Source organism: Homo sapiens, chromosome 1, assembly GCF_000001405.40.
Source record: "Homo sapiens chromosome 1, GRCh38.p14 Primary Assembly".
Lineage (NCBI taxonomy): Eukaryota > Metazoa > Chordata > Mammalia > Primates > Hominidae > Homo > Homo sapiens.
This window is the reverse complement of record NC_000001.11, coordinates 23,291,106-23,303,365: the sequence shown is the minus strand read 5'-3', so window position 1 is coordinate 23,303,365 and position 12,260 is coordinate 23,291,106.

Genomic DNA, 12,260 nt, shown 5'->3' with positions numbered 1-12,260 from the left:
GACCATGTGTAGACATTTCCTCTAGCTCATAAGCAAGAGTAGTGTTTTATTCAGCTGTTTACTTAAAATTCCAAATGGTGACTTTTAGGCCTAGATGTCTATTTGTTAAGAGGCAGGAGGGGCTCTGTGTGGTGGTGGTTCTTGCTGGTAATCCTAGCACTTTGGGAGGCCCAGGTGGGAGGATTGCTTGAGCCCCGGAGTTCAAGATCAGCCTGGGCAACATAGGGAGACCCCATCTCTACAAAAAATCAGAAACTTAGCTGAGCATGGTGGCACACACCTGTAGTCCCAGCCACCGTGGAGGCTGAGGTGGGAGTATTGTTTGGGCCTGGGAGGTAGATGCTGTAGTGAGCTGTGATCCTGCCACTGCACTCTAGCCTGGGTGACAGAGTGAGACGCTGTCTCCAAAAAAAAAAGAGGCAAGAGATTAAATTAGACACAGTTTAGTCATGCCTTTTAAAATAACAAGGAGTTTGATCATTTTAAGATTCTTTCCCATGGGGTAAAGGTGAGAATCAGTATTGTCAAGTATGGTAACGGTGGTGAGAAAAGGAGCTCAGTTTTTAAGTATGTTAAGGGGTAATATTTCCTTAGTTACAAAAATACTGCGTTATTGCAGATCTCAATACTGTTTAATAGAATTTGGAAACATTCCTGTACGCGTGTTCTTGGGAGATTATTCTGTACTTCAGTTAGGAATCCTTTAAGTCTGTAAACTTCAGTTTCAGCCTAGGTTTTTAAGTAGATTAAGCAAAGTTAATACTTTTCTTTTCTTTTCTTTTCTTTTTGAGACAGAGTCTCCCTGTGTCGCCCAGGCTGGAGTGCAGTGGCGCGATCTTGGCTCAGTGCAAGCTCCGCCTCCCGGGTTCACGCCATTCTCCTGCCTCAGCCTCCCGAGTAGCTGGGACTACAGGCGCCCGCCACCACACCTGGCTAATTTTGTTTTTGTATTTTTAGTAGAGACAGGGTTTCACTGTGTTAGCCAGGATGGTCTTGATCTCCTGACCTCGTGATCTGCCTGCCTCAGCCTCCCAAAGTGCTGGGATTACAGGCGTGAGCCGCCACACCCAGCCATTAATACGTTTTAAAAGGCCACTATTTTTATCAGCTAAATCACTTTTGAAAATTTTGTGTGTTATGTGTTATACTCAAAATATTATCAAAACATTCTGTTTTCATTTGAACCTATTGATTAGAATGGTGCTTATTTATTTGGCTGTTGTTCAAGTACCTGAATTGGCTTGGTCAGAAGGACTTGGGTGTTCTAGCTAGCTGTCGTATAACTAAATATTTTTGGTTAAGTGGTACATGTTTAGCATTGGCTTGTCATTTTGAAATTTTTCCATGCTTCCTGTTAAGAAATAGAACCTTACCAAATTAGTCATATTTAAATATAATCTGTATAGAGTTGGTATGGAAAACGATTTGATCTAAATACAACCAACAATAAATATTTTTATTGAAACTTCCTTTTAATTGATGAGTAGTAATATGGATGTCTTCATTAGTTGTAATGTCATTTCTATTTTACTTTCCTAAATGTGAAAGAAAAGATGAAAGACCATTTCTTGGACATATCAAATGATTTTTAAGGAATTTCTGGTGATTATTTAAATTTTCTAGTTAAGCTGTCTAGGTCAGAATTCATCATTCAAAAATGCTGCTCAAACTTGAAGTGGGTAGGAATTTCTGGGGATTTTGATTAAGATGCAGATTCTGACTCATTAAATCTGAGATGGGCAAGAGTCTGCATTTCTGACAAGCTCATAGGTGATGCCAGTGTTCCTGACTACACTTTCAGTAGCAGAGTTACAGATTATCCCACATTTTGGGGGATTTTGGAGAATGATCTTAGTAGAAAAGATAACAACAGATGTTTGCAGTGATTTGCCTGGATGTAGTTGGTCTGAGATTTAAAACTATGATAAATGTTGCCACAAATGTTTAATAGTGTTTGGGACCCCAAGGAAAGATTAGGAACATTGTCTGCAAAAAAATGAAATGAATTTAGAAAAACAGGCTTTAATAGTTTCAAGGAATTGCTAGAAAATAATGGGAAGGCATATGCAGAAAAGATCAGGATGCTGAGAAAATGTCATGGCATGTTTATTTAGGAATTAGATCTGAAAACAGTTACATGAGTTATAGAAAAAATAAAGCTCAGAAAGGAAGGATTGATAGGTTACTAAAAATGCCTATGTGGTTTTATTTTTGGAATCTGTAACTTTGTCTCCCCAGGAAGGTTTTCACTAACTAGTTCAAAGTAAATCTTGGGCCAAGTGTGGTGGCTCATTCCTGTAATCCCAGCACTTTTGGAGGCCAGGGCAGGTGGATCACTTGAGGTCAGGCGGGCGTGCACCTGTACCTAGCTACTTGGGAGGCTGAGACAGGAGAATCACTTAAAACCGGGAGGCAGAGGTTGCACTGAGGCGAGATCGCACCACTGCCCTCCAGCCTGGGCGAGAGAGTGAGTCTCTGTCTCAAAAAAACAACCAACTAACCAACACCCCCGCCACCAAAAAAAAAAAAATCAAAGTAAATCTTGGGTAGTAAGTGAAAGCAGACTAATGAAGAAAATTGTTAAAGGTGACTTTTTTTTTTTTTTTGAGATGGAGTCTCGCTCTGTCACCGAGGCTGGAGTGCGATGGTGCGATCTTGGCTCACTACAACGTCCGCTTCCCGGGTTCAAGTGATTCTACTGCCTCAGCCTCCTGAGTAGCTGGGATTACAGGCACATGCCACCATGCCCGGCTAATTTTTGTATTTTTAGTAAGAGATGGGGTTTTGCCATGTTGGTCAGACTGATCTTGAGCTCCTGACCTCGTGAACCCCTCACCTCGGCCTTCCAAAGTGCTGGGATTACAGGCATGAGCCACTGTGCCAGGCCTAACTTTTTTTTTTTTTTTTTTTTTTTGAGACAGAGCCTAGCTCTGTCGCCCAGGCTGGAGTGTGGTGGCGCGATCTCAGCTAACTGCAACTTCTGCCTCCTGGGTTCAAGCGATTCTCTCCCTGCCTCAGCCTCCCGAGTAGCTGGGATTACAGGCACCTGCCACCACGCCCCAACAATTTTTGTATTTTTAGTAGAGATAGGGTTTCACCATGTTGGCCAGGCTGCTCTGAAACTCCTGACCTCAAGTAATCTCGGCCTCCCAAAGTGCTGGGATTACAGGCATGAGCCACCATGCCCAGCCCTAAAGGTGACTTTTTAAAAACAACTTTCAGCCGGGCACTGTCACTCACACCTGTAATCTCAGCACTTTGGGAAGCCGAGGCTGGCGGATCGCCTGAGCTCAGGAGTTCTGGACCACCCTGGGCAACATGGTGAAACTCCATCTCTACTAAAATACAAAAATTTAGCCAGGCATGGTGGTGCACGCCTGTAGTCCCAGCTGCTCAGGAGGCTGAGGCTTGAGAATCGCTTGAGCCTTGGAGGCGGCGGTTGCAGTGAGCTGAGATCACGCCACTGTACTACAGCTTGGGCTACAGAGTGAGACCCTGTCTCAAAAAATAAAATAAAAACAATTTTCATAGATCAACAGCTGGGAAATTCTCATGAAGAATAGAGACGACAAATGTATCCATCTTTATATAAAGTTAGGAGCTAGACGGTGATCCCTGAAAACAGTGATTTTTTTTTAAAGTCTGATTTTCACTCTAGAATTTTATCTTGAAAAATAAAAATAGTGTAGATGAAGTATGGGTGGAAAACATTCTGCTGTTTCTTTTTTCATGGTGAGCTTTTTTTAAAATGATAGATTAATAACACCTACTATGGTGTAAGTGCTATGTACCATGCTCTGTACTAAGGAGGCATTTTATATTCTGTGTATATCATGTAGTTTACAACCCTGCAAGGTAGGTGGTATTTTTCCTACCTACTTTACATATAAGGAACTCAAAGATTGAGATTAGGTAATTTCATATTTGTGGCTATTGACCACCTGTCTATGAAGTGGCAAGGCCAGGATTCAAACCCTCTTCTGCCTGACTTAAAGTGTACATTCTTTACTGCTAGATTAGAAAGACCTAATGTGAGGTTAGAACTAAGTGGTAAAGTTTATGTGTACTTAAAAGCTCTTTATGTCTAAAATAAAGCTAACCTAATTAGAATTTAATATAGTTTTGTCTGAAATTAAGGATTACTTAGGCTTTTTTGTTTGTTTTATGTTGATAGTTGTCATTTGTTTTGCTCTTTTTTCATCATTTATAAAAATTTAAGCCAAAACGTACTGGATTTTGGTCTTTAGGAAGCCACTTTTGGGCTGGGCATGGTAGCTCACGCCTGTAATCCCAGCACTTTGGGAGGCCAAGGTGGGAGGATTGCTTGAGCCTAGAAGTTCAAGACTGTCCTGGGCAACATGGCGAAACCCCATCTCTACAAAAAATTTAAAAAACTAGCTGGGCATGGTGACACACCTCTGTAGACCCAGACCTGGGAGGCTGAGGTAGGAGGATCACTTGAGGCCGGGAAGTCGAGGTTGTAGTGAGCTGCGATCAGGCCCCTGTACTCCAACTTGGGTGACAGAGTGAGACCCTGTCTCAAAAAAAAAAAAAGTTTTTAACCTAGGTAAACTTAATACTTGTTTGGAAAAGATTGCAGGAGGATCCCTGGAGACCAGCCTTGGCAATACAGTGAGACATCATCTCAAAAAACAAAAACAAAAAGCAAATATTTTAAGCTATCCCATCGCCTAATTTTTAGTTTCAGTCCTATACATTTTTTTTTTTTTTGAGACAGGGTCTCACTCTGTTGCCCAGGCTGGAGTGCAGTGGCATGATCTCAGCCCACTGCAACCTCTGCCTTCCAGGTTCAATCGATTATCTTGCCTCAGCCTCCTGAGTAGCTGGGATTCCAGGCGCGTACCACCACACCTGGCTAATTTTTTAATTTATAGTAGAGACAGGTTTCCCCACTTCAGGCAGGCTGGTCTTGAACTCCTTACCTCAGGTGATCCGCCTGCCTCGACCTCCCAAAGTACTGGGATTACAGGCGTGAGCCAGCGCGCTGGGACTTAGTCCTATATTTTTCAAGGCCATTATAGAAGAGTTTGTTAAAAGGTTTACTTATCAGACCTGAGTGTGTGTGTGCATTTGTATGCAAGATACAGAATTACACATAACGGAAGCCACTATGCTGGGCCGTAAAATTGGTGGGTGTAGAGAACCTGCTTTCCATATGTATTCTTACAGGAAATGTTATCTTCTCTGATACAGAAAGAAAGATGGTTTTAAAAACTCTTTTTTTTTTTTTTTTTTTTTAAGACGGAGTCTTGCTCTTTCGCCAGGCTGGAGTGCAGTGGCATGATCTCGGCTCACTGCAACCTCTGCCTCCGTGGTTCAAGCGATTCTCCTGCCTGGCCTCCCGAGTAGCTGGGATTACAGGTGCGCACCACCATGCCCAGCTAATTTTTGTGTTTTTAGTAGAGATGGGGTTTCACCATGTTGGCTAGGCTGGTCACGAACTCCTGGTCTCAAGTGATCTGCCCGCCTTAGCCTCCCAAAGTGCTGGGATTATACAGGTGTGAGCCACTGTGCCTGCTTATCTTTTAATCTGGAAAGTAAGTCAAAACAAGGATAAATGTTTCATAAAATTTTTTCAAAAGATTGTAATTGGGCCAGGCATGGTGGCTCATGCCTGTAATCCCAGCACTTTGAGAGGCTGAGGCAGGCAGGTCACTTGAGGTCAGGAGTTTAAGACCAGCCTGGCCAACATGGTGAAACCCCATCTCTACCAAAAAACACAAAAGTTAGCCGAGTGTGGTGGAGTGCACCTGTAGCACCAGCTACTCAGGAGGCTGAGGTGGGAGAATCACTTGAATCTGGGAGGCAGAGGCTGCAGTGAGCTGAGATTATGCCATTGCCCTCCAGCCTGGATGACAGAGTGAGACCCTGTTTCAAAAAAAAAAAAAAAAAAGATTCTGGCTGTGGCAGATTGCTTAAGTGTATATAAATATATGTAGCCTTGAATAAAGAAGTGTGAGTACTCCACTAGCTGAACACTCAACATGTTATTCTCAGTATATAACTTATGTGATCTTGCCTACCAATAAACATTTGAGAAAAATGTTTAATTCTAATAAGATAACAGAACCCAAATTGAGTTCTGTTGAAACCTTTATCATGGCTTGCAATATTGTTGGAAATTCTTAATTCTAATCTTGTTTTTATTGATGTAACATGGGGTTTTTTGTCTTGAAAATGAGGATTGCAAGACCTATATGACAATTGCTAGTTTATTTCTTCATAGTGTGATACGATAATAGGAATTTCCAGAAATTCCCCTCCTGGCTTTTGTCCTTAAGAAGTATTATAAAAGTATTTAACTTTTCTTTTCAGAAAGTGCAGTAACATCTCGAGCAACCTGTTAATGCTTAGGAAGGGATATCATTAAATGGATTGATCTTAAACATCATCAATCAAATGTAGATAACTAGTTCAAAGTCAGCCATATATTGAAAATGTTAAGTCTAGTTTATACCTAACATTGATAATTGATATGATATTCATTCTAAATTTCATGGCCATTGGGTATTTGTTTCAGGAGTTAGGAATACAAAATTAGTAAGTTATGGTCATTGTCTTCAAATAATTTAGAGAAGATTGTAGGAGATAATAAAAGGTTTATAAATAGTAGTGATAATCATCAAACCAAATGTTCCAGAAACACCACTGGAAGTTTGAAAGGTGTCCTGTGCTCCTAATAAAATATTCAGATTGTAATTGCAATACATGAATAATGTATATAATTTAGATTAGGACAGCAGAAGAGTTTGTAAAATGTATATTCTGATTTTTTTTTAGCTGACTAAAAAAAATTAAGCTTAATGTTCACTGGATATGATCAAGTAACTTGATTTTTAAGAATTTTCACCTATCTAGTTCAAATTTTATTTAAAGAAAATATTAAAATGTAAAGGTGGAGTGATTGTGTGAATCTGAAGGAACAAAGGTGAAGGTAGGTTTCCTAATATTTTTCCATTGCTGAAAACTTAAAGCTTCATGTGAGAAATCCTTGGTCAGAACTGAAGTAATGATCACTTTTCTGAACCATTTCTCCCTCCCTGAAGAAAAACAGACATACAGATGTTGCTTGGTTAAAATGGAATAGATTTACCAAAAATAACAGTTTAATCCATTTCCTGTAACTCATAAGGTTCCCGATGAAATCAAGCTTTTCCATTCCTCACTATGACTTATGAAACTGGTTAATCTAGTGTCTGATATACATTTTTTATATTATAGAACATTAGTACATTTGACAGAAGTGACTGCTGAGGTGATTTCTTTAGAAAGAAAACATAGATGATAATAGCTCCTATTTAAAAACAAAACAAAAAACTCAGGACTACATGTCTCCTAAGAATACATAGTTTAGCCTAGTGGCTAAACCAGCCTTTTCAGCTCTTCATTCTCTATTTATTATTTTTCACCCATAAACATTTTCTTTTTTAAGGAGTTCTAAGACCAGCCAGGCGCAATGGCTCGTACCTGTAATCCCCACACTTTGTGAGGCCAATGCAGGCAGATTGCTTGAGCCCAGGAGTTCGAGACTAGCCTAGGCGACGTGGCGAAACCCCATCTCTACAAAAAATACAAAAATTAGCTGGGTGTGGTAGATCATGCCTATAGTCCCAGCTGAGGTGGGAGGATCACTTGAGCTGGGGAGGTTGAGGCTCCAGTGAGCCATAATGGTGCCACTTGCTGCTGCACTCCAGCCTGGATGACAGAACGAGACCCTATCTTTAACAAAAAGAGTTCTAAGACCCATAAACTGCCATCTGGAACTTCTAGCATGAGAGAACTGAGGTTAACACATTGAAATGGTTATAATTTCATTCAAAAGCAAACTAATACTGAGTATTTCCAGCATGCTGCCATTGTCTTAAATACCTTATGTTAACTTACTGAACTTCATACTAACCCTGTAAAGTAAGTATAAATGTGGATACTAGACACACATATTTTAGTCTAAGGCGTGCCAACTAGAAGTCGCCCATCTAGTATTGAACCCAGGTAGATCTGATACCAGAACTCATTTTTTGTTTGTTTTACGAGATGGGGTCTTACTTCGTCGCCCAGGCTGGAGTGCAGTGGCACGAATTCCTGGGCTCAAAGCGATCCTCCTGCCTCAGCCTCCCAAAGTGCTGGGATTATAGATTTGAGCCACTGCACCTGGCCCAGAACTCATATATAACACCACTGTGTACTGCCTTCTGGATTTTACTTGTTCTGTGCAGTCATGTTAGGTAAATGTCATTAGGCTTCTTTGAAAAACTGGGATACTACTCACTAGCTGGTTATGCTAATAGTTTCTCCAGCCCGGGACTATAGGTGGGGCCAACAACTGGTATTCCAGAAAAAAGAACAAAAATTATTTTCTGTTGTGATATTAAGATTAATGATAGCCTCTCAATAGCTCAGAAACTTCCGTTTTGTAAATTGTGTGCTGTCAGTAAGCCTTCACTAATTGAACAATGCCCTTTTTGAGACTTTACTAATTTCTCAAACTGCTTTTTTCGTGCTTGTGACTTTTGTCACACATTTACTAAACATTTTGTGATTCAACACTTTCGCCAGTTTCCAATTATCTCCTAGTTAGAGTGTTTCAGAATTTGTTTCAAATTGTTTTTAATAAGATTGAGCCAGGCTGTGGTATTTTATCTGCAACTTACTACAATTTTACGTGTAATTCAATTTTATCCTTAACTTCTTCTCTCCAGATTGGAGTTCTTATTCTTTGAAGTCAAAAGCCACTTTATTTCTGTGAATACTTCCTTTTCACTGTTTTGTACCTTCCCTGGCTTTCTATTACGTCTTTGAAGTGGCTACTGGAAGGTAATGAAGTATGCTGGATGCATATGTATTAACCATGGTTTTGTGTCGTGTTAATCATCCTTAAAAAAAAAAATCCTTCCAAATTATCCCCAGTTGTTATCTTTCTGTTTGTGTGTGTGTGTGTTTTAGAAGTGAGGCATTAGGCTGGGTGCGGTGGCTCATGCCTATAATCCCAGCATTTTTGGAGGCTGAAGTGGGTGGATTACCTGAGGTCAGGAGTTCAAGACCAGCCTGGCCAACATGGTGAAACCCCGTCTCTACTAAAAATACAAAAAAATAGCTGGGCGTGGTGGCAGACACCTGTAATCCCAGCTACTCGGGAGGCTGAGGCAGGAGAATTGCTTGAGCCTGGGAGGTGGAGGTTGCAGTGAGCCGAGATCACACCATTGCACTCCAACCTGGGCGACAGAGCAAGACTCCATCTCCAAAAAAAAAAAAAAAGAAATGGGGCATTATTCCCATTTCACTTCATGATTTGCCTAGGCATGCATCATAGAAGAAAGATAAAACAGGGCCAGATGCGGTGGCTCACGCCTATAATCCCAGCACTTTGGGAGGCCGAGGTGGGTGGATTATGAGGTCAGGAGTTCAAGACCAGCCTGGACAACATAGTGAAACTCCATCTCTACTAAAAATACAAAAAATTAGCCGGGCATGATGGTGCATGCCTCGAATCCCAGCTACTCGGGAGGCTGAGGCAAGAGAATCACTTGAACCTGGGAGGCAGAGGTTGCAGTGAGCCGAGATCATGCCACTGCACTCCAGCCTGGGCGACAGAGCAAGACTGTCCCAAAAAAAAAAAAAGAACCAGAATTTATTTCCTGGTAGTTTTTCACTAACTTTGATTCCTGGAGAAAGGCTGTAGTGGAATTCATAAGCAAAGCTAAATGGCATCCTGATCTCCTGTTAACTTTGAGAAAACCTATTGGCTTTTTTTTTTCTTTTCTTTTTTTTTTTTTGAGACAGAATCTTGCTCTGTCGCCAAGGCTGGAGTGCAGTGGCTTGATCTCAGCTCACTGCAGCGTCCGCCTCCTGGGTTCAAGCAGTTCTCCCACCTCAGCCTCCCGAGAAGCTGGGACTATAGGTGTGCACCACCACACACGGCTAATTTTTGCGTTTTTAATAGAGATGGAGTTTCACCATGTTGACCAGGCGGGTCTCAGAACTGCTGACTTCAAGTGATCCGCCCACCTTGGCCTCCCAAAGTGCTGGGATTCCAGGCATGAGCCACCTCATCCAGCCAAGAAAATTTGTTCTCTAATAGTAACAGGTCATATGTATATCTTGTTGATTGAATAAATAGCCAGCAATATCAGAACTGGGACTTACTTAATGACCTGGAAGGTATTAATGAAAGCCAGACTGGCTGTAGTTATATTTAGCACCAAGACCAACTTCAGAATTTCAAATGGGTATCTATCTGACTTACAAGGTGCCCTCAGTTGCTTTGGGGTTCTATCTAGCTGTGTTCTGCCTGGGATTAGTTACAGAATTTAGTTGCTGTTCAGTCAAAGCCAGTGGGTGATAGCAGCAGTAATCTTCAGGTCATTTCAGCTGCCTTTTTCCTCCCGGTTGTTATTCTTGATCCTTTATTTTTGACACAGTTGGATAAACTTCCAAACTGTTCTAGCTTTTGCTGGTTCTGTTTGATCCATAATTCCGTGTATTTTGTTGGCCCTATAACACCTCTTCCCATGTCTTTTTATCCCTCATTAGGGGCTTCATCCATTGGTTGGGGCTCTACTGGATTTTAATATACTCTCAAGTCATATCTCTAACCCCAGTCTTTCAGTCTACAATCTCGTATGTGCCTCCAGATCACATGAAACTTGATAATGTTAAAAGACAGTTACAAGCATTTGTTCACTTAGAAACATGTAGTGAATATCAGTGTTCCAGGCACTGGCACTGTGCAGTCACGGGTATACAGGGGGAACATTTGGCAAAGGAAAGAAAACCTTATAGGCTTAGCCATGAAAATTGTGAGTTTGAGAAACACCTTTTGATCCCACCAATTGAAATCTTAATAGTTCTTTTTGTTGAATTTTCTGTTAAGTCGTGGTGATTCTTCTCTATGATGTCTTTTTCTTAATATCTCTAGTCATTAATCCAATATCCTAAGGTGGTGTTTTTTAACCTTTCTTTTAGGATAATGACTTGGAACCAATGTAGAAAAAAATACCAGACCAGCCATAAGAAATAACAGCTATAGTTTAGTACTTGATTGGAGTTGTAATCAGTTGATTAGAAAACTTACATTAAAAAGATTCTAGGAATTCAGCAATATTTTGTAAGTGAATTATCTTTTATTAATTACAACAGCTTTTATATCAGATTCAGACTATTTTGAATGTTAGAAGGTCATTTTTATGTTAGATATTCTAGGTACTGAAAATACGACAGTGAGTAAGACAGGCTCTCTCCTATGGAGCTAATGTTCTGTTAAAGGAGACAAAATTAATTCATATTTAGTCTAATATATTCCAAAATCCAAGACTTAATAGGGTAGGAAGCACTGCTGTGGGCCTTAAAAGTTGGTTGCTAGATTATTATTCCTCTTCCTCGTCATCCTGCCCAATCCCTCATACTACCCTATTTGTCCTACGCAGTTGTCATAATCATCACACAGACACCCACATGCCTACTATGTCATGGTGTCAAGTTTAAATTCTTGAAGTTTGAGAACTTTCATATACTTCCTTGGCATCTTATGTTTCCTTTAAACCTTTTATTAATTTCCCAATCTGTCTGCAATTCTGCCTAAGACTTTTCTGTCATCCTTAGGAAGGTGATGCTGATTTTTTTCCCCATACTTTGGTCCACCTTTCTTTAACCCATTACTTTCTAGCAATTATTTTGGCAGTTATTTCATTTTCCTAAGACAAAGATTGGAATGTGTTGTCACTGATGAAATAATAGAAATATATGGTTGAGTCATGTACAAAATAACTTACAGGCCCCAACCAGTGGCCCTCTTCAGGGGGTATTTGGAATTATTTAAGTGACAGACAACAAATTTGGACTGAATCTTAATATCTAGATTCTGTGGGTAACAAAATCTGTAAATAGAAAATAATAAAATGGTTAGGATTAGTCCATATGAGAGTTTGCGTTCAGAGGTTTGGAGGGCAAAACTGACGATTTCCTGCTCTTGACTATTATAGAGCAGTCTCTTGCTTCACAGTTGTCAAAATCCCACTTCATGAACGATCACAGACCAAATGGCAGAAAACAACCCAGTTGTTTTCCCAGTTGTTTCTATTCCTAAAAATTGCATAGGTGGGTACATATCGTATTCTGTTGTGTTTTCTGAAAGCAAAGGTACTGTCATGTTATTGTGGTCTATGTGCATATCGCTGTAGTTATCCATGCTATAGGTAAAACTGTTGAAAAGAATTATTTAATTGTGGTGATAAACTGCCTTA